We start from the raw sequence: 23,926 nt of genomic DNA on the forward strand, positions 1-23,926 counted from the left end.
GGGCCACTCACCTAAGATCAAATCTAGGCTCTCTGTATTTTTTCCACTACACCAGGGATGGCAAACCCCTTGCCACTCTTCCATTTCCCCTGCCCAAGATAGACCTCATGAATCAATCAGGGCACTCTTCCCATTGAGCTCAGACAACACCTCAGAATCCTTCCCAACACAGCCCTCCTGGAAGCTGGTACCAATTGTTTCAACTTGACACCCAGATAAAACCTATTTGCTGTTCCTGCACTGTATCCTGCCAACTCCTCAGCATCCAGCCAACACTGTGACAGTGCCACCAGTTTCTGGGAAGTGCCTGTGGGCTAAGCTTAGCCTGGCTGCTCAGCCCCAGGAGCCCCAGACAGCCACCATCAGCCAGCTCACCGGCTCCAAATGGAACCAGATGCACCTGCATTTGGGAGCAGATCAGGGAGAGTGACTCCTACACCCCCGGGCCCAAGAGGTCTCTGCTTTTCTCACTGCGGGGGCCCCACTACCCAGGACCACTGAGGCCACCTTGACTAATGCACACCTGCTTCCCACACAGCAGGAGCCAAAGGTGTCTGCTTCTGCAACGGACGCAGCATTGCTGTGTGGCATGGGGCCCTGCAAGGGGTTCAGTCAGGGAAGGGGCCACATGACCAGACCACCCCCGCAAACACACACACACACTTCCCTAGGGCCGTGCCCCAGCCAGTCCCAAGGGCACACGTCCTTCCCTTGTACACATGCGGAGCCTCCTCCTCTAGACAGATCCTTCTGCATGGGCCCCTTCCACAACCCTGCAAGGAAACTTGTTTAGTAAATAATAGTAATAAAACCCTAAAAGTGCTCATTTTGATCCTCACGCACATGCTTGTTGTCCAGGCTAGAGAAATGTGAATCCTGCCTTCCCCAACGCCCTACCAGCCCCCAAGCCCATAGGGCAGCCCTGGCTCCTTTCCTACCCTTGTCAAGAGGCCAGTCCCCTTTGGAAGATGGCAAGCAGCCTGCCGGTCCAAAACAGTGGGGTGGCACAGCACCCACACCAGCCAACACCAGCTGGCAGCGGCTGCCCTGGCTGGGGGGCTTTCCTTCTGGAACCCATCAGCGCTGGCTTCCTGCCAGGCCCAAGGGAGATGAAGTACACCCTCTTCCTGACCACGTCTAAAGGGCCTAGACGATGCCTCTCCCAGCCAGAACCCACAGCAGTTACCTCCACTCTCTTGCCTTACCCTTACTTCACAGTGTGGCACCCTCCCCTTCCTGGTCTCCTGAGCCCCAAATCCATGCTGCTATTGCAATCATCAATGGGCTTATTCTCCAAATCATCGCTGGCTTCTTCTGCCAGGCCTTGCTGAGTTCCTTCCTGATATTTACAGCCCCCGAGGCTCCTTTCTGGAGGACGATTAGGCAGCAGCATACTGAGGGGGAGCCAGGAGCGTCTGCCCCCCGGGAGGAGGAGTGTTTTATCACTGACCTTGTTTAGAAGTGCCGGTACACAGCAATAACAAAAACCAGACTTTTTGTTGGCTTTATTTATTTTTCTATATCCTCTACAGACAGTGTACCCCTCATTGTCTGCACCGGGAGCCGATTGCTCCCCTGCCCCTTGGTACCCTACTGCCATTGGGTGTCTGCAGCCAGTTTCCATGGGGCTGGGTCAGATTTCAGATGAACGAGTGAAAGAATACACAAAATTGAGCAGAGAAAGCACTGGCTCCAGAAGCTCCACTTCTCGCTGTACTCCACAGTTGGGGTAATCAAGGCCTTTGGGGACTGCCCTCTAGGGATTTACTGTGCTTACTAGAGGAGGAATGAAGGTTTATTCAGCACTCTCAGGCCCTGGTGCTGTGTATCCATCTAGACCTATCACTATGTTGTGAGGTAGGCATTAGAGCGGCCCCCAAGGCCAACCTCCCATCACCACCACCCACACATGGATGTGACCAAAGCAGGCACCGGACTCGGAGTCTTCCTGCTAGTAAGCGGCAGAGCCAGGAGTTGAGCCGGCTCCGCCTGACCCCTCACCCCCCTCCCTGAGCCCTGGGCTCCTCCCAGGCCTGCCTCCCTGAATCCTGTCTGCCCCCTCCCCTGCCTGCCCTCACTTGTCCGCCAAGCATCTACCAGGGCCCCTGTGTGCCAGGCACGTGCTGCTGCTTTCACATCCCTCATCTCCTGGAACCCTCCTCACTACCCCCCCCTGCCCTCGGGGAGCCTGCACATCTCTCCAGGCCACACCGAGAGGGAAGGGGCAGAGCCAGCGTGAATATCAGGTCACTGGCCCCAGATCCAGGGCTCTTTCCTCTCTGGAGCCTGAGCTGGGCCGGCACCCAGCTGGATCCCTGGGCAGAGGCCCAGCCAGCCAATGGGAAATGCCATCACGGAGGAAGGCACCGAGGACCACGGGGAGTCACCAATGACACAAGCAAAGCCAGAGGCTGGGCTGGCCATGCTGACCCAAGACCCCGCTCTCCTGATGCCACACTGGGGTTGCCTGCAGGGAGGCTGGTGTCTTGAAAAGTTGACTCTGAGATAGATATTATAGTAAGGGTCATTTATGTGAACCACATGATTAGAAGTCCCTAGATTTCTTCTGAATATCCTAGGATTTTCCCCAGCCCCTCAAAGCCAACACGCCCAAGATAGAATTCACCATTCCAACTGCTTCCCAAGTCTTCAACTCCTTTAAAGGCAAGGAGGTCTTGCCTCTCCCCACCCATCAAGTCAAGTCCATCATCATATCTTGACAATTAAAAACAGAGGCCATTTATTGAGCTAAGAACATGACACCTGCGTAATTACACCTGTGTGATGCCCTTACAGCCACCCGTGGGCCAAGCATCATAATGCCCACTTTACAAACACAGACACTGAAGTTCAGGGAGACCAGGCAACTTGCCCAACTGCACAGCCAGTCACTCCCCCAGCTCCGACACGAACCCGAGAGTAGCCGGCTCCAGCACGCTGCTGCTGTCCTCCATACCTACTCCTCCCAAATCTCTGAAAACGAGCAGGAAGAGGGTGTATTCCACCTCCTTTGGGCCTGGCCAGAAGCCAGCGCTGATGAGTTCCAGAAGGAGGCCTCCCCCCCTCCCCAGCCAGAGTGGCTGGTGCCGGCTGGTGTGGGCACCGTGCCATCCTGTTCTCTGGGACCAGAAGGCTGCCTGATGCTCGCTGCTTGTCATTCTCCAAGAAAAGGCTGGGCTTTGAGCAGAGCAATGTGGCGAGTGGGCCACGACAGTCACTTCGAGCCTCACACACAACTCAGATACCCAGGATGGAGAAAGGTGAAGCCTGACAAGCTGCCTGCCTCCCCAGACCTCCCCCCATATCTTCCCTTCCCACTGCCCCGAGCTGGGTTCAAGCCTTCATTCCTCCTTTTCACAACTATCGCAGTAACACTGCTTCCAGCTTCCTCTCTCTATAACCCATCCTCCATGCTGTGGCTGGAGCACACCACTGCCCTGCTCACATACCTTCCACTGTTCCCTGTGCCTTTAGACAAAAGTGCAAATTCATCAGCCTAGTTCGTGAAGCCCCCACTACTCCACCAGCTTCACGGGCAGGGGGCTCCATGTCCCTCTCCAGTCTTCTCTTCCCAGAACTTCTAGGAAAACCTACCTCTCCAGCCCTCCCTAAGAACACAGGGCACTCTCCAACTTTGAGCCTCTGCCCCTACTGTTGCCTCGGCTCAGAACACGCATTCCCTTTTGCCTCATGAAGCCCTACCTTCCTTCAAAACCCAGCTCAACCCCTACTTCTTCTAAGAAGCCTCCAAACATTAATATCCGCGGCAGGCCCTTAACGGGATGCAGAGCCTCTCTACCGCACTTAGCACAGTCTGCCTTGCCTCAGAGTTACGGCAGCCCGAACACCCCCTCAGCCTCATCCATCTCTGTGTCCCCCAACGTCCCCGGGGCCAGTGCCTGCCACAGAATGGGCATCAGTGAAAGTTTGCCGAGTAGAATGTTCTCAGAGCTTCAATATATTGGTACAGACCTTTCCCCGACAGCAAACCCCATCTTTTCCTGGGGCTGGTCCTGAGCTCAGAACAAATGTTTGCTTCCCGAGGTGGCCACTGGGGAATCCTGGCCCACTCACCTCAAGAGGATTCTAGCGATGCCTGGGCTGGCACACTTAGCTGTTTCTCCCCCTGCCAGGAAATCTGCCACTCAACCAGCTCTGTCTCCCACTCACACAGCACAGAAATAATAGCCCTGCATTTTCCTGCAAATTCCATCTTCCCCAAATGGAGACTAGCTCCACCTGTTCAAGGAAACACAAGCAAGAAGCAAGATGGAGCAGGCCTGGGAGAACAGCCATGTGGCCTCGCAGGGGCCAATGGGGGTTCCTGGGCAATGCCCCCCAAGGCTATTATTCAGTGCTGGACTAGAAAGCGGATTGGCCTGCTGCCTCCCTTTGCCGGCACATCACAGCTGACTAAGCATGCTTCCCATCCGGGTTCCCACTCAGTCCACACCACAGCCCCATTACTGTGTAGACACCACTGCCCCACTCAAGACAAGATTTCCAAGGATGAAAAGACATGGAGACTAGAAACTAAGGAAAAACTTCACTGAGGCATGAGGAGTCAGGACTTGAATTCAGGTCTGCTGACTCCTGGACCAGGCTGCTTGATGACAGAGGCAGCCCCCTTGGGAAAGGGTGAGGGAACGAGAGGACCTGGAAGGGCAGGCTGCAGTTAGAAATGCAGGCTCCATTTTCGCATTCATCCTCATAACAAGCTGGTGAGAATGAGTCATCGAAAGCAGGGTTTCTCAGCCTCAGTACCACTGACATTGTGGGCTGGGTAATTCTTTGTTGTAGGGGGCATCCCTGGCCTCTCCACATTAAAGGACTATAATATCCCTCTCCTGACTGTGACAACCAAAAATGTCTCCAGGCATTGCTAAAAGTCCCCTGAGGAGCAAAAGTGCCCCAGTTGAGAAGCTCTGATCTAAAGGCACAGTTAGATCCCAGGTCTTGTGGTAAGGGAGGGGACCCCCCACTGTTCTCCCTCACTCCCATTCTGGCAGGCGCTTCTTTCTCCCCTACTCATGCCACTCGCCAGGCATCCGCAGCCCATACCAGTTCTACTGTTCCCTCTGCACCATCTCCCTCCACTCTAGGGGCAGAGCCAGGCGGCCCCACAGGCATTCCTTATGTTGGGCATGTGTCAAGTCACCGGCCTAAGCTCCTTCATTAACATCACTTCACAAAACTCCTCCAAGGCAGGCACCATCACCCCAATGAAACAGATAAACTCAAAGATTAAATCACTGAAGTCCTGCAACCAACAAGGGTCAGGGTCCAGCTTTGAAACTAAGTCAGAAGGCCCATGTCCAGCAGGCCTGGGCTGCCCAAGTGAGGTGGCCTTGGTCTACAGGTCCCAAGACTCTCACCCTCCAAGCCCGGGTGCCAGCATCAGACACCAGCTGGGCTAGGAGAGGACCTCAAAAGCCATACCTGCTGCCTTTCCCCACTCTCCTCCCAGTCTTAAAAAGAACAGGTGCAGTGGCTTCCCTGTGTGGTCCGTGAGAGCCCTGGGCCCTCTGCAGGCTTTGGACATTTGGCGACATGGTTGGTGCACATGAGGCTGGTGATTCCCAACATCCAGTGCTTACCTTCCCCCAGCTGGGAGACCTTGAGGAGGTTATTCCACCTCTCCAAGCTCATTAATCCCTTCCCCCAACATCCCTGTGGAGTTGAAAGTGCTAGAAAATTAGGAATGCATATCTTTAGCGTTTTGTATCATTTCAGTAAGTTTCCATAAAATCAGGCTTCCAGGCCACACTGGGGGAGCTTCTGAGCATTTATGACACATTTTATTCATCAGCCCAGAGCAGGGAGATTTGACCTTGAAATGTGGATTGACTCAGAAAGACCCTAGCAACTTCCAGTGACCTTCAGGGAGTCAACACCCACGGTGCTGGAGGCATGGATAACTTAGCTGATTTTTGTTTGTTTGTTTGTTTGCTTTGTTTGAGGCAGAGTCTCGCTCTGTCACCCAGGCTGGAGTGCAATGGCACTATCTCGGCTCACCACAACCTCCGCCTTCCCGGGTTCAAGCGATTCTCCTGCCTCAGCCTCCCGAGTAGCTGGGACTACAGGCGTGCACCACCATGCCCGGCTAATTTTTGTATTTTTTGTAGAGACGGGGTTTCACCATGTTGGCCAGGTTGGTCTCAAACTCCTGACTTCGTGATCCACCCGCCTCGGCCTCCCAAAGTGCTGGGATTACAGGCGTGAGCCACCGTGCCCGGCCAAATTTTTTTTAACGTTGCCAGCCATGCCTCGAACAGACCTCTGGAAGGTGAGAGGAGCCATCTGTTCTGGGTCAGGAGCCCAGGCAGAAGCTTGCCACGGCCTCAAGCACCATCCTGTGACCTCTTACAACCCCTGGGGCAGGTGCTACACGCATTATATGGAAATTGATACACCTCAAACTTAACGAGTCCAACCACAAACTCCCTGTCTTCCCCCAAAAAACTGCTTCTCCCACAGTCTTCTCCATTCAATTAACAGAAATTCCATCCTTCCAGTTGCTTGGGCCAAAAGTCTCAGCCTCATCCTTGACTTCCCCTTTCTCTCACCACTGCCTGACCTGCACACCATGACCTTTTGTCCAATTCATCAGGAATGCCCTCCTTTTAAATAGCCCAAGGGTCCAGCCACTTTTTACCAACTCAATGCTACCACCCAGGTCCAAACCATCACCACCCTCACCTGAGCTGTCCCCACAGCCTCTCAGCGGGGCTCCCTGACCCTGGCTTGACCCTCCCTGTCTGTTCCAAACACTGCAGTCAGAGTGGTCCCATTAAAATGTAAGTCAGATCTTGTCACTTCTCTACTCCAAGCCCTCCTCTTGCTCCCATCTCACCCAGGGTAAAGGCCACACTCCTCAGGACGGTCTACAAATCCCTGCAGAGCCAGACCCGCCTCCCCTGTGACCTCACAACCCCGCCCACATGATCCCTCCACTCACTGAATCAGCCTCACAGGCATCCTCTCTGCTCCCAGGCCTGCACCGTCCAGTGTGAGGACACGAGCCACGTGTGTCCACTGAGCCCCTGCAACATGACCAGTGCAACTGGATTTTAAGTCCATTTCATTTAAAATTAAATATAAAAAGACACTCCACTCTTTTATTGGAAAAATTTTAAGTACGTTTTCAACAACTTGAGTGTGTGAATCTATTCTTTTTTTTTTCTCGGACGGGGAGTCAGGGTCTTGCTCTGCTGCCCAGGCTGGAGTGCAGAGGCACACGCATGGCTCACCACAGCCTCAACAGCAAGCTATCCCCCACCTCAACCTCCCAAGTAGCTAGAACCACAGGCATATGCCACACACCCAGCTAATTTTTTTTTTTTTTTTTTTTAGAGAGATAGAGTCTCACTGTGTTACATTACCCAGGCTGGACTCGAACTCCTGGCCTTAAGCAATCCACCTGCCTCTGCCTCCCAAAGTGCTGGGATTACAGGTGTCAGCCACCATGCCCAGCAAGTCTGTTCTTTTAATTGTAAATTTTATAAACTCTAAATACAGATCAAGTATCTCCAATGAAAACTTAATGTCTGATTGAGATATGCTGTGTCAGAGACACACCAGATTTCAAAGACTTAGTACAAAAAATAAAGTGTAAAAGATCTCAATAATTTTTTGTATTGCTTGCACATTCAAATAATAATATTCTGGCTATGTTGGGTTAAATTAAAAATATTATTAACATGTATAATTCTACTTTTCTCTTTTCACTATTTTTAATATGGCTACTCAGGAATTTAAAATGACAGCGGTAGCTCCCATTTCGTGTCCACCGGACAGTGCTGTCTACAACACACCAGGCATGATCCCCCCTCAGGGCCTTCACCTTGCTATTCCTCTTCCCCCAGGTGGCTGGATCCCTCACCACTTCAGATCCTCCAATAGACATCACCTTTTTGGTAAGGCCTTCCCTGAGCACTTATTTAATTTATTTATTTATGTGTTTATTTTTAGAGACAGGGTTTCACATGTCACCCAGGCTGGAGCACAGTGGCGTAATCACAGCTCACTGCATCCTCGAATTCCTGGGCTTACGGGATCTTCCCACCCCAGCCACCCAAGTAGCTAGGACTACAGGTGCACACCAATGTACTCAGCTTTTTTTTTTTTTCTGTAAAGATGAGAGTCTTGCCATGCTGTCCTGGCTGGTCTCAAACTCCTGGCTTCAAGCAAGCCTCTTGCCTTGGCCTCCCAAAGTGCCAGGATAATAGGCGTGAGCTACCATGCCTGGCCCTAAGCACTTCTTTATTTGTTTTATTTGTGGTTTTTGTTTTCTGTTTTTGTTTTTGTTTTTGTTTGAGACCAGGTCTCACTCTATTCCCCAGGCTGGAGTGCAGTGGCACGATCACAGCTCACTACAGCTTTGACCTCCTGGGCTCAAGCGATCCTCCCACCTCAGACTCCCAAGTAGCTGGGACCACAGGCACGCACCACCATGCCCAGCTAATTTTTTGTTTTGTTTAGAAGGCGTCTCACTATATGGCCTAGGCTGGTCTCAAACTCCTGAGCTCAAGCGATCCTCCTGCCTCGGCCTCTCAAAGTGCTAGAATTACAGGCATTAGCCACTGCACCTAGCTCTGAGCATTTATTTAAAATGACCACTCTCAGCCGGGCATGGTGGCTCATGCCTGTAATCCCAGCACTTTGGGAGGGCAAGGCAGGCAGATCACTTGAGGTCAGGGGTTCAAGACCAGCCTGACCAACATGATGAAACCCAGTATCTACTAAAAATACAAAAATTAACTGGGCATGGTGGTATGTGCCTGCAATCCCAGCTACTCAGGAGGCTGAGGCAGGAGAATCACTTGAATCTGGGAGGCGGAAGTTGCAGTGAGCCGAGATCACGCCACTGCACTCCAGTCTGGGTGACAGAGTGAGACTCCGTCTCACAAAAAAAAAGCTGGGCGCGGTGGCTTATGCCTATAATCCCAGCATCTCGGGAGGCCAAGGCAGGCAGATCATGAGGTCAGGAGATCAAGACCATCCTGGCTAATATGGTGAAACCCCGTCTCTACTAAAAATACAAAAAATTAGCCAGGTGTTGTGGCAGGCACCTGTGGTCCCAGCTACTCGGGAGGCTGAGGCAGGAGGATAGCGTGAACCCGGGAGGCGGAGCTTGCAGTGAGCCGAGATTGGGCCACTGAACTCCAGCCTGGGCGACAGAGCAAGACTCCATCTCAAAAATAATAATAATAATAAATTAATTTGAAAATAAATAAAATAATATGACCACTCTCCTCTCAGAAGCCCCTGCACTCCCATCCAGAGTGGTCCTAACAATTGTGATTGTTATTGATGATGACAATGATGAAAGGAAAAGAGATGTCTTTTTCCTGTTATCTAACTCTGGCTGTAAAATTAGTTGGGGCCTTAACAGATTGGGATCTAAGACTTGTCAATGGAGTAAGAAGTTGTATCTTGGAGGGAAGAGGCTCTTCATAACACTCATCATAGCACTTATCACCATCGAACATAATATATAATTAACTTAGATAGTTTACTATCAGGCTTATCTATTAAAATGTAAATTCGTGACAGCAAAGATTTTTCTCTTTTGTGGGTTTTTTCTACTACAGTCATGTGTCCCATAATGACATTTCAGTCAAGGTCCTGTACAATTATAATGGAGCTGAAAAATTCCTATCACTTCGTGACATCTTGATGATCCTGAACCTGTGTCAGCCCAGGCTAACGTGTGTTTGTGTCTCAGTTTTTAACCAAAAAAGATTTTGTAAGTAAAAATGCATCTTTTTAAATAAATATTTCTAAAATGGAAAAAAACTTATAGAGTAAGAATATAAAGAAAATACTTTCGTGCAATTGTATAATGTGTTTGTGTTATTACAAAAGAGTATAAAAAGCTTATAAAGTGAAAAATTTGGCCAAGCGCAGTGGCTCATGCCTGTCATCCCAGCACTTTGAGAGGCCAAGGCGGGTGGATCACTTGAGGTCAGGAGTTTGAGACTAGCCTAGCCTACATGGAGAAACTTTGTCTCTACTAAAAATACAAAAATTAGCCGGGTGTGATGGCACGTGCCTATAATCCCAGGTACTCAGGAGGCTGAGGCAGGAGAATTCTTTGAACCTGGGAGGTTGAAGTTGCAGTGAGCCGAGATCGTGCCACTGCACTCCAGCCTGGGCTACAGAGTGAGACTCTGTCTCAAAATAAATAAATAAATAAATAAATAAATAAAATTATAGTAAGGTAAGGTTAACTTGTTATTGAAGAAAAAAATATTTTAAATAAATGTAGTTAGCCTAAGTGAACAGTGTTTACAAAGCCTACACTAGTCTACAGTCATGTCCTAGGCCCTCACATTCACTCTCCACTCACTCACTGACTCACCCACAGCAACCTCCAGTCCTGCAAGCTCCATTCATGGTAAGTGCCCTATACAGGTGTAGTATTTTGTATCCATTGTACAGTATTTCTACTGTACCTTTTCTATGTTTAGATACATACTTGCCATTGTGTTATGATTGCCTACAGTATTCAATACAGGCCTGGGAGCAGTAGGCTACACCATACAGCCTCGTGTGCAGAAGGCCATGCCACCTAGTCTGTGTAAGTGCACTGCATGATGCTCACACAATGATGAAATTGCCTAATGACACATTTCTTAGACTGCGTCCCCGTCGTTGCAACGCATGACTGTATATCTGTGATGCCTAGAACAATACACTGGCACATAACAGGCATTCAATAACTTTGTCAAATGAATGAAATTATTTTTCCGCCTGGGCTGGCTACTCAGCTGGAAGTTTCTAAGTGTCTAGCATATGGTAGGTGCTTGACAGATGCCTACTGAATGTCAGGCTGATCTGTTAGCAGGGTCATTGGGGAAACTGAGGCAGCTTAGCTGAGTGATCCCACAGAGAGCAAAAGCAAGCGCCAAGGGTCCTTGAGTCAGACGTGGTGCCTCCTCCCGCTGCCACCCATGCTCCCTCTCCCCGCCCTGAGGGAAGCTCCCCTGAGCCCAACAGCCTCAGGTACCTCGGGGAAAAGTACATTTCTTTTCCTTTCCATAGACTTTTATTCTCCCAGTGAGAAGACAAATCTGTTTCCCCTCCACCAGAAGGCCTCAAGCCACAGCTACTTACATTATAGTAATTAAATCCCTGCTGCTAGGAGGGTTCAGGAGACAAGCAGGACTCGTGCCAAGGGCTGGCCTGCAGGGAGGAGGCAGCAGGGAGGGAGGCTGGCCAGAAGGGCCTGTCTCTCAGCTGTCTCCTGAGAGTGAGAAAATCCCCTTAGCCACGATGTCTTCACAGGCTTTCGCTTGTGGGATAGGAAGATAACGCCCCCCGCAGCCCACCCTGCCAACATGCACCATCGATGAGGACCCCCGCCAGCTGGAATAGCGTAGCTTTCTTCCAGTTCTCTCCGAAATTCCATCTGGTGCTCACGACCTTCCCGCAGATGGCCAGTGCAGGAAACATCCCCTCCTCAGGCTCCTTCTCTCACTCTCTAGATGACAAAACAGAGGACCAGAAACTAAGCTGCCCCACACCTAGCCTAGGATGCTTCTCCTCACCTGCAACTCAGCTGGCCTTCACAGAGCGCTCCATGTGTGCCAGAAACCATGTCCTCTGCCTTACAAACAGCAATATCTCATTAACTCTCATGACAGCCCCAGCGGCCAGGTTAGGATTCACCCCCATGGAAACTGTGAATCAAAGCACTGAGACAGCTTCCCAAAGCCACACAGCCTACAGTAAGTGACACAGCCAGCGCTGTACCCAATATCTGCTTGGCACTAAAGCCTGTTCTCCTAACACCAGGCTAGATAGCCCATATAGAAGAATCAGAGGATGGCCTGGGAGACAGATATGAGGGAGGATGGAAGAAGTGAGGGTGAGATGGACCTTCAGGAAATGGGGGGAAGGGGAGCAGACGGAGGCGTGGGACACCAAGTCTCAGGCTTGTGGGTCAAACCCAAGCCACATGTGTGTGCCCTTGTCTCTCGCAAAGCTCACATCAGACCTGTTGTTACTTGTTCAGTGCCTGCCTCCCCCACCAGCCTGTGAGCTCCATGTCTATTTGGTGCTGAACCCCCAGAACCAACCAGAACACGCCAGGCAGTGCCCTTGTCTCATTTATTCCTCATGACACCCATTCTCATGAGAGAGAGAAAACACTGTTAACCCCATTCACAGACCTGGAGACTGAGGCTCAAAGAGGTCAGTTTTCTCAACAAGGCTGCACAGCCGAGAAGCCACAGAGCTGCGGCAAGAACACTAGGACGCATGCTGTTGAGGGCTCGGGTGGCCCCTCCAGGGCCCACAGGAGACTTTCCTCAGCCCCAGAGCCCAGCACGGCACCTGGAGCTTCAGCAAACCCCTGTATCTAAACTGCCAGCATCCTCCTCCCCTCCTCCCTCTACCCTTACCCCACTCCATGAGCACAAAACATCCCCTGAGGCTCTGGGGGAGGCTGGCAGGGGACTGAGGGTGGCACAGTAAGGGGTGGGGTGGGCGGGAGTGGAGAGCTCAGGCAGGGCAGGAGAAGCTTTTTGGCTTGAAAGAGCCCAGTCTAGGATCTGATATGCAAAAGCATGTCTGCTGCACAATGTGAGGGCGTCGGAGACACTCCCCTGTGTGCAAATCCAAACTCCACCACCTCCCAGCTGTGAGACCCTGAGCAAGTCACTTAAACTCTCGGAGCCTTGGGTCTGTCATCTGTAAAATGGGGAGAATTATATCTACCTCACAGGGTTGTTGTGAGGACTTAATGAGATGAGGTGTGTAAACACACATAGTAGGCCCTTAATAAATATTCTCTTCTCCACCGCCTGTCACCTCTTCACTCCTGAATAAGACCCGGTGTTGCTTTGGAGTCATTCTTACGGAAGGAAAAATAAGTTCCCATGTAATGAGAGCGGTGCCTTCCCCCAAGCTGCTGTGGACACAGGCTTTCTTTCTATATGATCCCGTCCACCCACCAGGAAACCCTCATGACTCAACTCCATCCTAGACTTGCTCTCAGCTTGCATCAATTTCATTTCACTCTTAAGGGATCTTTCCATCGCTGGCACATAGTGTGCACCCCGTCAGGTGTCTTCTGCCAAAATGCCCTCCCACCAGGCTCAGCACCATTACTCTCCCAGAGCAGGGGAAAGCATCTTGGCAGAGCTTAACACCAGGTCCAGCCCAGAGCAGGAGGGGCTGGGAACCATGGGCCCAGCTGTGAGGGACCTTGCATGATCCCAAGGCCACTGAGCTCTCAGAAGAAACAACCAAGGTAAAACCCACCATTGCCCAGCATGGACAAGAGCCCCCTGGGTGACAGCTCTGGCCCACGTTGAATTCTTCACCTCTCCACCCACAAGAGGAATTAAAATACCACCTCCCAAATAAAGGGGCCGCTGCGCAAGGCCACACAGCCAAATAGCCAGGATTTGAATCCAGGTCTATGGGGAAAGCCTGTGCTCTCTTAGGAAGAGTTGGTGGAGAACAACACATCTGGCTGGGGAGAGACCCCCCTGGAGTCTGTAAGGCACAGATTCTCTGCACTCCTGCCGCCTGGAGCAGGGCTTGCCACACAGTGGGTGTTCAGGATATGTTTCCAGAAGAGGGATGGGAGAAACAAAAAGAGAGGAAGAACTAAAACCAGGAATTCCAGGATTCCAGCTATGCCCCTGCCACTAACAATGCTGAGTAGCCTCGGACAAGTCATGTAACTTTTTTTTTTTTTTTTTTGAGACAAGGTGTCACTATGTTGCCCAGGCTGGTCTTGAGGTCCTGGACTCAACCGATCCTCCCGCCTCAGCCTCCCAAAGTGCTGGATTACAGGTGTGAGCCACCGCATAACTTCTATGGGCCTTGGGGTCCTATAAGGAGGAGGATGGTCCTTTCCCTGCCTTCCTCACAGGGCTGGGAGGCATATGCAGGGATCTTGCCCACCCAGGCTAGCACACCTGGCTGGCCTACAGAGCTTGGCCATCTAGGGCAGGTATGGTGCCCCCCTGAGGAGGCCTCCCCTGCATCCTCCACCAATGCCATCCAGCTCTGAGCCCTCCAAAGGCGGTGGCTCAACCCTGAGCAACATGCCTACCCCAAGCCCTCACCTTGGGAGAAGGTAACATCACCCATGCAGGCAGCTCCGGCCATTCCCATGTATGGGAGATTTTTGGGGAGCCAACATCTTACCCACTGGAAGCCAGAAAAGAAAGAAAATAGCTAAACTCCAATTCGTTAAAATCAGAAATCTCAAAAGGGGTTTTGCTCTGCAAAAATCGCTGCTAGTGGAAGCTTGCGAGGAGGCAGGCTGATGCCAACTCAGGCAAAGGGGCTAGGAGGAGCCACCACTTGCTGGCAGCCCAGGAGCACCCACAGCCAGGCTGGCCACTTGACCAACCACTAGCAAGTGTCATCCTCCCCAGGTTAGTGGATGTCAGTCTCCCCACATCCATTACAAACGGGGACACTGAGGCTCGGAGAGTTTGAGGCACAGAGCTTAAGGAAAACCAACGGTGGCAGATGGACCAGAATGAGCAAGGGCAGCCTCTCCCTGCCTCCCTGCAGGGCCCCCTCAGCTCAAAGCCACTGACAGGTCAGCAAGGTTCAATGGCTCAAGCCAGGCAACAGGTCATCTGCTTCCTCCTCCCTACCTACTGGGTAACCTGGGCAGGGCACCCACCTTTATAGGTCTCTCCATCTATAACCTGAAGCAAAACACCAAACAACTGTCCTTGCAGATGTCGCGTGGCAGGCCTGGTATCAGCAAGCTCTAAGGAGTAGGTGCCAGCTCAGTCCCTGCAAGGAGTGTCCTTTAAGCTGACTTTCCTGTTAATTTGACACTGAGCAGCACTCCTGTCCTTTAAGAAAAATGCCCAACAAGCTGACTCAAAAATAACAGATGCCAATTTGCATATTATTTCACACATCATTTGCATGCTGTTCATTTAGTATCATCAAGGCTCTGCTCAGAATACAACTCTGGTTACCCTGTGCCCAGGGCTTGTGAAACAGATATGGCTTCCACAAAGGGCAAGCCCTGGGCACGTCCCTCCCCTGCCCAGCTGCTCTTGCTGCCTGCCCCCTGGCACCTGGCTGGGAACGTCACCCACTGCCACAGCCCTGGTGCTCCAAGCAGGGTGAAGGGGCAGAAAGAATCTTTAGAATTCTAGGAAGCACCCTGACTCAAGTCTTGAAGGGGAAATTGTGTTCTCTTGACGACGCATCAGGCAAGCTGTGGCAATGCTTTTCTTCCCTGCTTCTGTCCCAGGTCAGCTTCCTAGTTCGGCTCTCCCTGTGGCCCTACTCTCTCAGCCTTTTTCTGCCTGGTCATCGTGTGTCCCCCTGACCTTCCTCCAGGCCTCTCAGCCTCTGGCCTGGCCCCACGGGTTTATTTTTGTTCTCTCTCCACCTGTCCGATTTGCATGTCCACACCCGGTTAGCTCTGCCCAGACCACAAATTGCTAACTGAGTGTAGAATAACAGGGCCCCATGGGGTAAGAAGGCTCCAGAAGTCCAGCCCAGGCCACCACTGCAGCCCTGCCCTCCGGAGAACAGCCCACTTCCTTTTTACTCACACAGATTCACCCAACAAGGTCTATCCAGAAACATGACTGGGGAGCTTGTCACGGACGGGAAGCCATTTGGCTCATGAGAAAAGGGGCATGTTCCACACGTGCTCTCCAGGCAGGGACACCTGCAGACAGTGGAGGGGTGACATGGGCGCATATGCCCCTCCTGTCTTGATGCTCCAGGTGGCATCTTCTAACCACCACTCTAATAAAGGCAACAGTTGCCAGCTGCTGAGACCCAGTGTGTGGCTGGCTCTGTGGTGGCTGCTGTGCTACAGCCAGTAGTTGTGATTCCCTCTTAACACTGAGGAAATAGGCTTTGGGTTCAGTAAGTTCCCAGAGCGCCCATCACTGGTGTGCCACCCAAGTTTTTTTTTTTTTTTTTTTTTGAGATGGAGTCTCACTCTGTTGCCCAGGCTGGAGTGCAGTGGCGCGATCTCGGCTCACTGCAACCTCCGCCTCCCGGGTTCAAGCGATTCTCCAGCCTCAGCCTCCCAAGGAGCTGGGATAACAGGCGTGAGCCACCAGGTCCGGCTAATTTTCTTATTTTTAGTAGAGATGAGGTTTCGCCATGTTGGCCAGGCTGGTCTCGAGCTCCTGACCTCAGGTGATCCACCCTCCTTGGCCTCTCAAAGTGCTGCGATTACAGGTATGAGCCACCGCGCCTGGCCCCAAGTCCTTAACTACCAAGCCTGGCCACCTCTAAAAGGAAGGATATCAGGTCTTCGGGGCCTGAGTGTGCAGAACTCTGCAGCCCTGGTGGTTACTGATGCTACCAAATATTCCATCCATCACTGTGCCCTCGCCCTGGGCCTGTGTTCACTGCCTGCCCAAAGCCTCTCCAGACGAGACAGTCTCCTCTTTCCTCCCTACATGCCCCTGTGTGCACCACACGGCAGCAACCTGAAGCTGCCCTCATGCCTGCTCTATTCCCTACACACTCTGCCCCCTCTCCCCGGGCTTCTCACACTCAGAATTGAGCCCCTGCCCGAGCCCCTCCCATCATGGCTTGTCTAGTCCTTCAGGGACCCCCCAACCTCCTACAGGGAATCCACCCAGCATCCCCAGTCTGAGTCACTGTCTCCTTCCTCAGTCCTCCCAAGCACCAACACCATAAACCACCGTCCGCCTGGGATGGATGCCATCTGGGTGCTGTCTGACACCCCTAAGAACAGGACTCTCCGGACTGTGGCTGCTCATCCTCGTGATGAAACATGATCTGGAATCAGATTGCGAAGCCTCGGCACAGGAAGGGAGTTCAGCTCCTGTTTTTAGGCCAGAGAAACGAGGCCCAGAGAGGGGAAGGGACTCGACAAAGATCACACAACAAGCTGGAAGCAAGAGGCAGAAGCACCTCCTGAGGGGCTCAAAGCAGAGACGGGCCTTTTCTCGGCACTCACTGCCCATGACAGAGCTCAACAGAGGCATGAGGCACAGACAGGGACGCAGGAAAATGGGACTCAAGAATGAAAAAGAAACTTCTAGAACCAGGAATGGAGAAGCCCTTCGAGGTCCCTCACTCAAATCCCCAGCAGAAGTTTGTGGTGGGGTTTGGAATAGGGAAATCAGAAGTGTACTGAGACCTGAGCTCTCATTCTAGAACCCTCTCTTTCCTGAGATGGGCACCTGGAGTGAGGCACTCAACCCTGGGAACCCCTGTGCAGCCGAGTTTTCTCATCCCTGAGATAGTTGGTCATCATGAGCCCTGGGCCAGCCACCGTGAGGGTCATGAGGGACCCAGGGGTGAAAATGCCTTGTAAGATGTAAGATGCTGAGCTCATGTGACTGTCCCCCGATAAACAGCCACACAGCCAGTGCTGGAGGAGAAAGGCAGCCTAAGAGAAGAGCAAGGTGGAGGTGAGGGGTGAGAGAGTTATGTATGGACATGTCCAGTCAGGTCTAGGGGTCCTGCTGGCCCTCCAGGGGTGGAAGGTGGGGGTGCTAGGGGCTGTGGAAGGAGCTTTTGCAGGAAGGGCTTTCATTTTCCCTGTATTCTCCACACCTACCCTCCTCACAACCTGCCCGGTATCACCCTGAGGGCAGCAGCACCAGACCCCAGAGAGGAGGCATCAAGAACTGACCTTGGGCCAGTCCACAATCTCACCCTGATCCCAGGCCAACCTGGGGTGCCCACACTTGCCCTGGCCACCCCTCCAGCACTGTCTTCTCCAGGACCTGCGCCAGCATCTCCCGCCCTCCATCAAGCCCTTCCTGCCCAGCTCGTGGTAAAGTTCCTCCTGTTCCAACATTTTGCATCACGGGTCTCAGTGCCATAAACTCAATTTTTCTCTTTTAAGGATATGGGCAGCAGCAGGCAAGGGAAAGGGCATGAACTTGGGAGCTAAACGGGCTTGGGTTCTTATCTCAGTGCCACCACCGCTGGCAGTGTCAGTGTGGCCCGGTGACTTCATCTACACAGGGGGCGGTGAGCACGACCTGCTCCTTGTACTCCCGGGTGTAATGTAAAGCCAGCCCAGCACTCAGCAAATGGTCCTTGCCTTCCCCTCTCCTGTCACTCAGCAACATCCCGGCCAGCCCAGCGAAGTGCTGGGTGACCAGAAAGTAGCGTGGTCCCTGCCCCCAGCTGCTCCTCCCCTCCTTTCCCTCAGATCCCAGCTGAGCTCCTGGGGGTGGAATGACAGGGTCGGGGGAGGGGGCACTTAAAAACCCATTCGCCTCCTCCGGACTTTCCTCACCCGAAGAAAAGGCACTAGAATTTTCCTCCCTACAGCTCCTGGGAAAAGCACAGTCTCAGAATTCCCCACCCTCATTATTTAAAGAGGAATAGGTGCCTTGCTTTCTTGCTCTCCTTTTGGGGTTTTGAAAGAAAGAGAAGAAAAAGAACTACAAATGAATGTGCTGGCCTGCCTGTCACTGAGCTGAGTAAAGTGGTATTTCATCAATATACAGCCGCCCCTCACAACCCCCGCACACACTCATTTTCTCCCCCAAATGTGCTTCACAAATAACTGCAACAGAGCTGAAGCGCTCTATTCTGATCTTACATTTCCATCCAGGCCCCAGATTCTCTACAGAGGTTACTCAAATTTCTTTTCATTTTGACTTTCTTTACCTTATATTTTTTTAAAGCAGATCTTTTGACCATGGCCTTACAAATCCCTCTTCCTAAAAGCACAATAAGAGAAATACGAGGCATCAGCCGCCTTTCTACTTAGGCTGTGCAGGAGATAAGTGCCCCAGCCAGGATGCCCCTGGCGGAGCACCTGGGTAATGCCGCCTGTGGGGAAGGGAAGTCCGGATGTGTGATGAAGTCTTTCCCCAGGACAGTTATAAATAGTGTGATGACACGCAAAGGAGAAGCATATATAAAAAGTTAGCTGTCCCCCTGTGGGTTACAGATGTTTGACTCATTTACAGACTGTCCACAAAGATTATAAATAAAGTCACCACCACCCTGGGGCGGGTGGCGGAGAAGGCCATTTTCACGCTGTCAAAAGGCCATTTTCACGCTTGCCCTCCTGTGGGCCGACACACTCAGTGTGACCTGTGAAGACAAAATGTGTGCCTAGGGCCCTCGGCAGTGGGCTCGCAGGCTCTCAGCCAGTCTCCTGCCTTCTGCATCCTGGTCCTGCAGGTCACCCCACAGGGAGGGTCCATGGAAAGGGCTGGAAAGGGTCTATCCTACTCCTACTTTTCCACCATGGCCTGAAACACAGGCACCAGTACCCAGAGGCATCTTCTCAAAAATACCAGGACACTGTGACAGCCAACAACCTATCCCAAAGCAGCACCTGGGTCCAAACAGAAGGTGCAGAGCCACTTGGCTAGCCAAGCCTGCACTGCTGCTCTGCCCTTCTGCAGACAAGGCTTCCGTGACCAGGGAGAGCAGAGGATCAGAACTGGTTCCAGTGATACTACTCAATCATTTGGTCTAGAGGCTGGGGATGGACTCAGGGACCTCTGTGAGGTCTGCAAAGAGACAGACAAGTTGGCCTTGGCCATTCTGTTTAAAGAGTGAATGGCCAGACGACCAGGCTCCCCTGGGCATACGGAGAAGCGGCCTCCCATGAGGTTGTCTGAAGAAAGAGTAACTAGAAGTGGGAAAAGAAGACACTGTGGGAGCAGACAGGGCAGCCTGGATAAGCATCTTCACACCAACTCCTCTCTGCCACCTGGGTTACCCCAGCAACGAGGCCAGGCAGGGGCCACAGAGAGGAGCAGAGGGGCAGGAAATCAGTGGGGCAGGCGAGACAGGAGCATGGTGGGGGAGTGGGCAGAGGACTGGTTCTGCCTGGGAGGAGAGATGCAGACCAGTTTCAAGGCCGGGCATGGGGAAGTGGCTTGAGGTTGTACAGATTGGTGGAAAAGAAGAGCCATGCTGCCACACCAGCACTCTCCAGCCTCCCCTGAGAAGATCCCACAGCCCAACGCCTGAGATCCCGAGAAACAAGGCCCCTGGGTGCCTTGCCAGCCACACAGAGGTACCAGCTCAGCCACCAACATGATGGCAGGGTCAGGGTGGTGAAGTCACAGCCTGGGGAAAGGGGAGGGCAGCCAGGCCTTTCCCTTCCCTAATTCTTTCTGAACCCAGGGAAGAGAGCATACAGGTAATTTAATGCAATGGAGTGGGTGTGCCCCAAACCAGCTCTAAAAGAAAATAAAGAACACTAAGAAGGACTCCCCAGGTCCTTGCTGGTCTACCCAGGTGGCACCGATCAGTACAGATGATGTGATTAAGATTCTCAACAGAATCTCTAGACCAGGCCTCGTCACAATGTCTAAGACTTCAGAGAGTAAACCTGCCTATTAAAAAAAAAAAAAGGACTCCTCATTTGGTTCAAGGGTCACCTGGTACCTTTAGGAGCCCACTGGGGCCATCTCAGGCATCTCTGCCGTTTGATCTCATGTCCCAGGCATAATAATGAGAAGCTCTCCTCTTATCTGAGCTCACCCAGGAATCAAGCCCCACCTCCCTGCTCCAGGCTGATGCCTCCTAGCAGAGCTTACTTCCATCATCAGCACCTACAGGCCTGTGAGGCAGGAGCTGGGGATGTTCTGTCCCGGTTGCTCAACCCCCTCACATTGGCTCCCATTTGCATTAACTGAACATGCTCAGGGCACATGCCACCCTCCTTTTCAAAAGACCCAGGCCTGCATGACAAGTTACTTCCCCAGCAGCAGCCACCCGCCAAACATAGGTGAACAGCAAGGCCACAACCCCACGGAAAAAAAAGCAGAGAACTTCAGAAAGCAGCAGCTCAGGCACAAGGTTAGTTAATCTTCAATCACCTGGGGAAAAAAAAAGTTTGTCACCTCCCAAGGGCCTTTGAGTGGGAGCTGCCACTGGATGGGCAGAATTACCTAATCTGCCTGGTACCCCTGAGGTTGCCTTGTCCATCCGCCTGCCTCCAGACTGGTCAGCAGGGCCAACCAGGCACACAAAGCTCTCCAGCAAAAGAGTGTCACCCATCCCTCCCCAGGGTCCACTGAATGTCCCTGAGCTCTCCTGGGCTGTGACTAACCCAGACCATGGAGGAGTAGAGACCACTTCCTCCATGAAACTGGGACACAGATATTCACCTCCCCCCAAGAATAAACCATGCTTAAAGGTGGTCTCTAGTCAGACCCAGTCCCTTCTCAGGACTTCTTCCCTCCCAGATACAACTTCTCACTCCGTTGACAAGTCTTAGATCCCAATCTGTTAAAGCTCCAACTAATTTTACAGCCAGAGTTAGATAACAGGAAAAAGATATCTCCTTTCCTCTCATCATTGTCATCATCAGTAACAATCACAATAGGTCCCATTTGTTGAGCAGGCAGATACGTGCCTTACACGTCTCTAATTTAATTCTCCCTACTCGACAGCTGGGGAAACAGGCTCGCTAAAGCTCCATGACTTATCCAAGATCACACAAATAGTAGTGGCAGAGCTGGGATTCCAACTCTGGCCCAGTTCCTTGAAATGTTCCCATTTGCCTCCAGGAGAGAGGGATATCTATCTTGGCCCTGCAGTGTGTACAAGGCCTGGTACATAGGAGACACCCAGAAAATACTTGTTTCATAAATGACTCAAAACATGGATGGACAGTGCAGGGATGGGTGAATGAGTGAGCAAGTTAAATGAGCTCTGCTTATCTCAAGACCAGCCCCAAGGCACACAGGAAGTGGCCGCTGAGGCAAGAAGGACCTCTCAGCTACTGCCCCCTCGGTGCACGCCACTGCTGCTATGAGGGTCTGTGATTCAGAAATGCGGGGAGCCAAGCACCTCAGGTGGCCTCCCCTTTCATTCACCTAAAATCTGCCTTCCGCATCTCTGGGAAAGCCCCTTTCCCTGAGCTCCCCCTCAGGGGTGGCACCTGCCCCAGGCAGGGAAGAGGGCCTGATCCTGCAGAGTGGTGACTCTCCCGTCGCGTTAAGACAAATGTGCATAGATCCCACACTGGGATCTGTGCACAGCCACTGTCTCTGGGAATAGCCGTTTCCTTAAGAACTCTGACTACGGGTGTCACTGAAAGAGAAGGTGCTGGGATTGCCCCTTCCCCACACCCCCCTTGCATTTGGGCCTTCATCAGTTTTCCCCAGTGAGGGCCCCTGGTCTCCAAGGGAGGACTGGAGAGAGCCAGGGCTGTGACCAGGGCAGCTGCCAGTCCTAGCGAGGCTGCCAGCCCCATATCCTGGAGCGCCCAGCAGGAGAGGCGGTTCTGAGAAGGCAGCGAGCAGAAGGACCCGCAGACGCAGAGGCTCATTACAGGGAATGACTAAGTGAGCTGCGCTTCCAAGGGAAACCCCACTCGCTTCTGCTCGCTGAGACGCTCATCCTTGAGCTATTTTGACTAAGGCGGCTTCCAGGTGCTGCCCTCCGCTGGGGCAGCCCACTGAGAGAGCAGCCGGGTTGCTGGAGGACCCTCTGCCTGGAAGTCTTGGTCCTGGCTATTCAGGTCGTCTGACAGGTCTGCCCCACCCGTTTCCAGGGCGGGAAAGTCTGCCCATCACCGATTAAAGTGAGATGCTGGGAATGGGGGAAATCCGATCAGCACCTCCTAGGTTTTTGCGGCTGGATTTCAATAAGGAATGTGACAGTCTCGCAGCAGCTGTGCCCTGCCTGAAACAAGCTCTATTTGAAACCTCCAACAGCTGAACCCCTCCCAGCTACCCGATGGCCAGCCCGCCCAGCCACCCCCCCACCAAGCCACCCCCTGCCCCAAATGACAAATAAATAGAAAAACCCAAGCAACAAGCAGGCGCATGCATACGTACAAACATTACGCACATACACACACACACACCAACAAATTGGGGGTGGGGGTATCGTGGAGCCACTTGTCCACCGATTCCCAGGTCTCCAAGCCTTCCAGCCCACAGCAGGAGAGCTCCCCGGCAAGCAGAGCATCGGCAGAAACCCACCTTCCTCCATCTCCACTCCCTCTGGGAGGGAAACCCCCTCCTCCGTCTTGGGGCTGGACTGAGAGGCTGGAGCAGTGGGGCCAGCTCCCCGCTAAAGCCAGTGCCTGCTGTTCTCCATCCGGGCGCGCACTCACACACACACTCATCTTTATTTATCCCAAGGAGGAGTTGAGGTGGGAGGGGAGAACTGGGGCTGAGCTGGGGCGCGGGCTTGTGGGGACCGCCTGGGAAGCCCTGTCATCCCGTCCCAAGGAGAGGTGCTCCCCCAGCTGATTCCAAGGCGGCGCCCAGCTGCTCTGCCCAGGTAACACCTGTAGCCATTTTTATCAGGAGATGTTTACGAAGCAGCAGCAGGTTTATTCTGAGTCCTCTCTCCTGAGGGAAAGGACCACTGATTTCCTCCACCTATATTTTTACCCCATGCCCTCAGGAGACCCAGGTCATGGATGGTTTTCTATTTTGCCCGAGACTCTCTGAGAAGAGGAGGGAAACAGAAACTTGGGAAGAGATGGAGAAGACAGGGAGAGAAGGGACTTGGGCAATGGTACGGAATCCCCACCCCCCACCCAGACATTTATTTCTTTTTTATCCTCAGGAAAATGGAGTGGAGCAGGGAGGGGAGGAAAGAAGGGGAAGTCGCAGGAACTGGCAAACACATGAAGGCGGAGTGTAATTAATTGGTGCGTTAAGCTGCTGGGTTATGCTTTAGTACGAGTGAGCCAGGAGGAAAAGCGATTTCTCAGAAGGGATTATTGAATCCTCCCTAACAGAGAGTCTGCAAATTAGACACAGTGTGTGGGGATGTCCCCTACCCCCCAGAGGAAGCTAGGAATGAATTCTCCCGGGATCAAGAAGGAAAACCACGGGAAGTTAGAGTGTTGAATATAACTGAGCAAGCGCCTCTCACCACCACCACCACCTCTCTCTCCCAGTCTCCCTCCCAATCTCTCAATCTCTCTCTCTCTCTCTCTCTCTCTCTCTCTCTCTCAATCTCTCTCTCTCACAATCCCCCTCTC

The 23,926-nt window shown here is 52.4% G+C and overlaps 1 protein-coding gene across 5 annotated transcripts in view, besides 14 other annotated features; it reads right to left on the bottom strand.

The window, feature by feature from the left end:
- The window catches only part of KCNN3 (potassium calcium-activated channel subfamily N member 3), a 172,827-nt gene that overhangs the window by 147,584 nt on the left and 1,317 nt on the right, over positions 1-23,926 (bottom strand). For 2 of the 5 annotated variants that reach the window (NM_001365838.1, NM_001365837.1), the window contains exon 1: positions 22,911-23,032. The exons of 2 other annotated variants lie outside the window; for them this stretch is intronic. Coding sequence is in view for 1 of the 3 variants with exons in the window: in NM_170782.3 (NP_740752.1) it covers positions 14,657-14,674 (18 nt within the window). In the remaining 2 variants the exon portion in view is untranslated. Of the gene's footprint in view, positions 1-14,656; positions 14,839-22,910; positions 23,033-23,926 lie in introns of those variants that run through there. One more of the 5 variants, NM_170782.3, reaches the window with a different exon arrangement.
- Positions 367-426: an enhancer, noted in NCBI's record as "active region_1784". NCBI's record gives its function as "activates an Ori minimal core promoter by ATAC-STARR-seq in GM12878 lymphoblastoid cells {active_cell/tissue: GM12878}" and the evidence as "EXISTENCE:reporter gene assay evidence [ECO:0000049][PMID:35858748]".
- Positions 747-806: an enhancer, noted in NCBI's record as "active region_1785". NCBI's record gives its function as "activates an Ori minimal core promoter by ATAC-STARR-seq in GM12878 lymphoblastoid cells {active_cell/tissue: GM12878}" and the evidence as "EXISTENCE:reporter gene assay evidence [ECO:0000049][PMID:35858748]".
- Positions 11,891-12,050: an enhancer, noted in NCBI's record as "active region_1786". NCBI's record gives its function as "activates an Ori minimal core promoter by ATAC-STARR-seq in GM12878 lymphoblastoid cells {active_cell/tissue: GM12878}" and the evidence as "EXISTENCE:reporter gene assay evidence [ECO:0000049][PMID:35858748]".
- Positions 14,185-14,685: an enhancer, noted in NCBI's record as "H3K27ac hESC enhancer chr1:154831699-154832199 (GRCh37/hg19 assembly coordinates)". NCBI's record gives its function as "activates a minimal SCP1, AML or CMV promoter by ChIP-STARR-seq in naive H9 embryonic stem cells {active_cell/tissue: H9 hESC(naive)}" and the evidence as "EXISTENCE:reporter gene assay evidence [ECO:0000049][PMID:30033119]".
- Positions 14,752-15,365: an enhancer, noted in NCBI's record as "H3K27ac-H3K4me1 hESC enhancer chr1:154832266-154832879 (GRCh37/hg19 assembly coordinates)". NCBI's record gives its function as "activates a minimal SCP1, AML or CMV promoter by ChIP-STARR-seq in naive H9 embryonic stem cells {active_cell/tissue: H9 hESC(naive)}" and the evidence as "EXISTENCE:reporter gene assay evidence [ECO:0000049][PMID:30033119]".
- Positions 14,752-15,489: a biological region, named in NCBI's record as "Sharpr-MPRA regulatory region 4766".
- Positions 14,889-15,368: an enhancer, noted in NCBI's record as "active region_1787". NCBI's record gives its function as "activates an Ori minimal core promoter by ATAC-STARR-seq in GM12878 lymphoblastoid cells {active_cell/tissue: GM12878}" and the evidence as "EXISTENCE:reporter gene assay evidence [ECO:0000049][PMID:35858748]".
- Positions 15,195-15,489: an enhancer, noted in NCBI's record as "tiled region #4766; HepG2 Activating non-DNase unmatched - State 22:ReprW, and K562 Activating DNase matched - State 5:Enh". NCBI's record gives its function as "activates a minimal TATA promoter and a strong SV40 promoter by Sharpr-MPRA in HepG2 and K562 cells {active_cell/tissue: HepG2 | K562}" and the evidence as "EXISTENCE:reporter gene assay evidence [ECO:0000049][PMID:27701403]".
- Positions 17,033-17,708: an enhancer, noted in NCBI's record as "H3K27ac-H3K4me1 hESC enhancer chr1:154834547-154835222 (GRCh37/hg19 assembly coordinates)". NCBI's record gives its function as "activates a minimal SCP1, AML or CMV promoter by ChIP-STARR-seq in primed H9 embryonic stem cells {active_cell/tissue: H9 hESC(primed)}" and the evidence as "EXISTENCE:reporter gene assay evidence [ECO:0000049][PMID:30033119]".
- Positions 17,709-18,382: an enhancer, noted in NCBI's record as "H3K27ac-H3K4me1 hESC enhancer chr1:154835223-154835896 (GRCh37/hg19 assembly coordinates)". NCBI's record gives its function as "activates a minimal SCP1, AML or CMV promoter by ChIP-STARR-seq in naive H9 embryonic stem cells {active_cell/tissue: H9 hESC(naive)}" and the evidence as "EXISTENCE:reporter gene assay evidence [ECO:0000049][PMID:30033119]".
- Positions 18,832-18,921: an enhancer, noted in NCBI's record as "active region_1788". NCBI's record gives its function as "activates an Ori minimal core promoter by ATAC-STARR-seq in GM12878 lymphoblastoid cells {active_cell/tissue: GM12878}" and the evidence as "EXISTENCE:reporter gene assay evidence [ECO:0000049][PMID:35858748]".
- Positions 19,449-20,338: an enhancer, noted in NCBI's record as "H3K4me1 hESC enhancer chr1:154836963-154837852 (GRCh37/hg19 assembly coordinates)". NCBI's record gives its function as "activates a minimal SCP1, AML or CMV promoter by ChIP-STARR-seq in naive H9 embryonic stem cells {active_cell/tissue: H9 hESC(naive)}" and the evidence as "EXISTENCE:reporter gene assay evidence [ECO:0000049][PMID:30033119]".
- Positions 20,730-20,799: an enhancer, noted in NCBI's record as "active region_1789". NCBI's record gives its function as "activates an Ori minimal core promoter by ATAC-STARR-seq in GM12878 lymphoblastoid cells {active_cell/tissue: GM12878}" and the evidence as "EXISTENCE:reporter gene assay evidence [ECO:0000049][PMID:35858748]".
- Positions 23,067-23,586: an enhancer, noted in NCBI's record as "H3K4me1 hESC enhancer chr1:154840581-154841100 (GRCh37/hg19 assembly coordinates)". NCBI's record gives its function as "activates a minimal SCP1, AML or CMV promoter by ChIP-STARR-seq in primed H9 embryonic stem cells {active_cell/tissue: H9 hESC(primed)}" and the evidence as "EXISTENCE:reporter gene assay evidence [ECO:0000049][PMID:30033119]".

This window comes from Homo sapiens, chromosome 1 (genome assembly GCF_000001405.40).
Source record: "Homo sapiens chromosome 1, GRCh38.p14 Primary Assembly".
Lineage (NCBI taxonomy): Eukaryota > Metazoa > Chordata > Mammalia > Primates > Hominidae > Homo > Homo sapiens.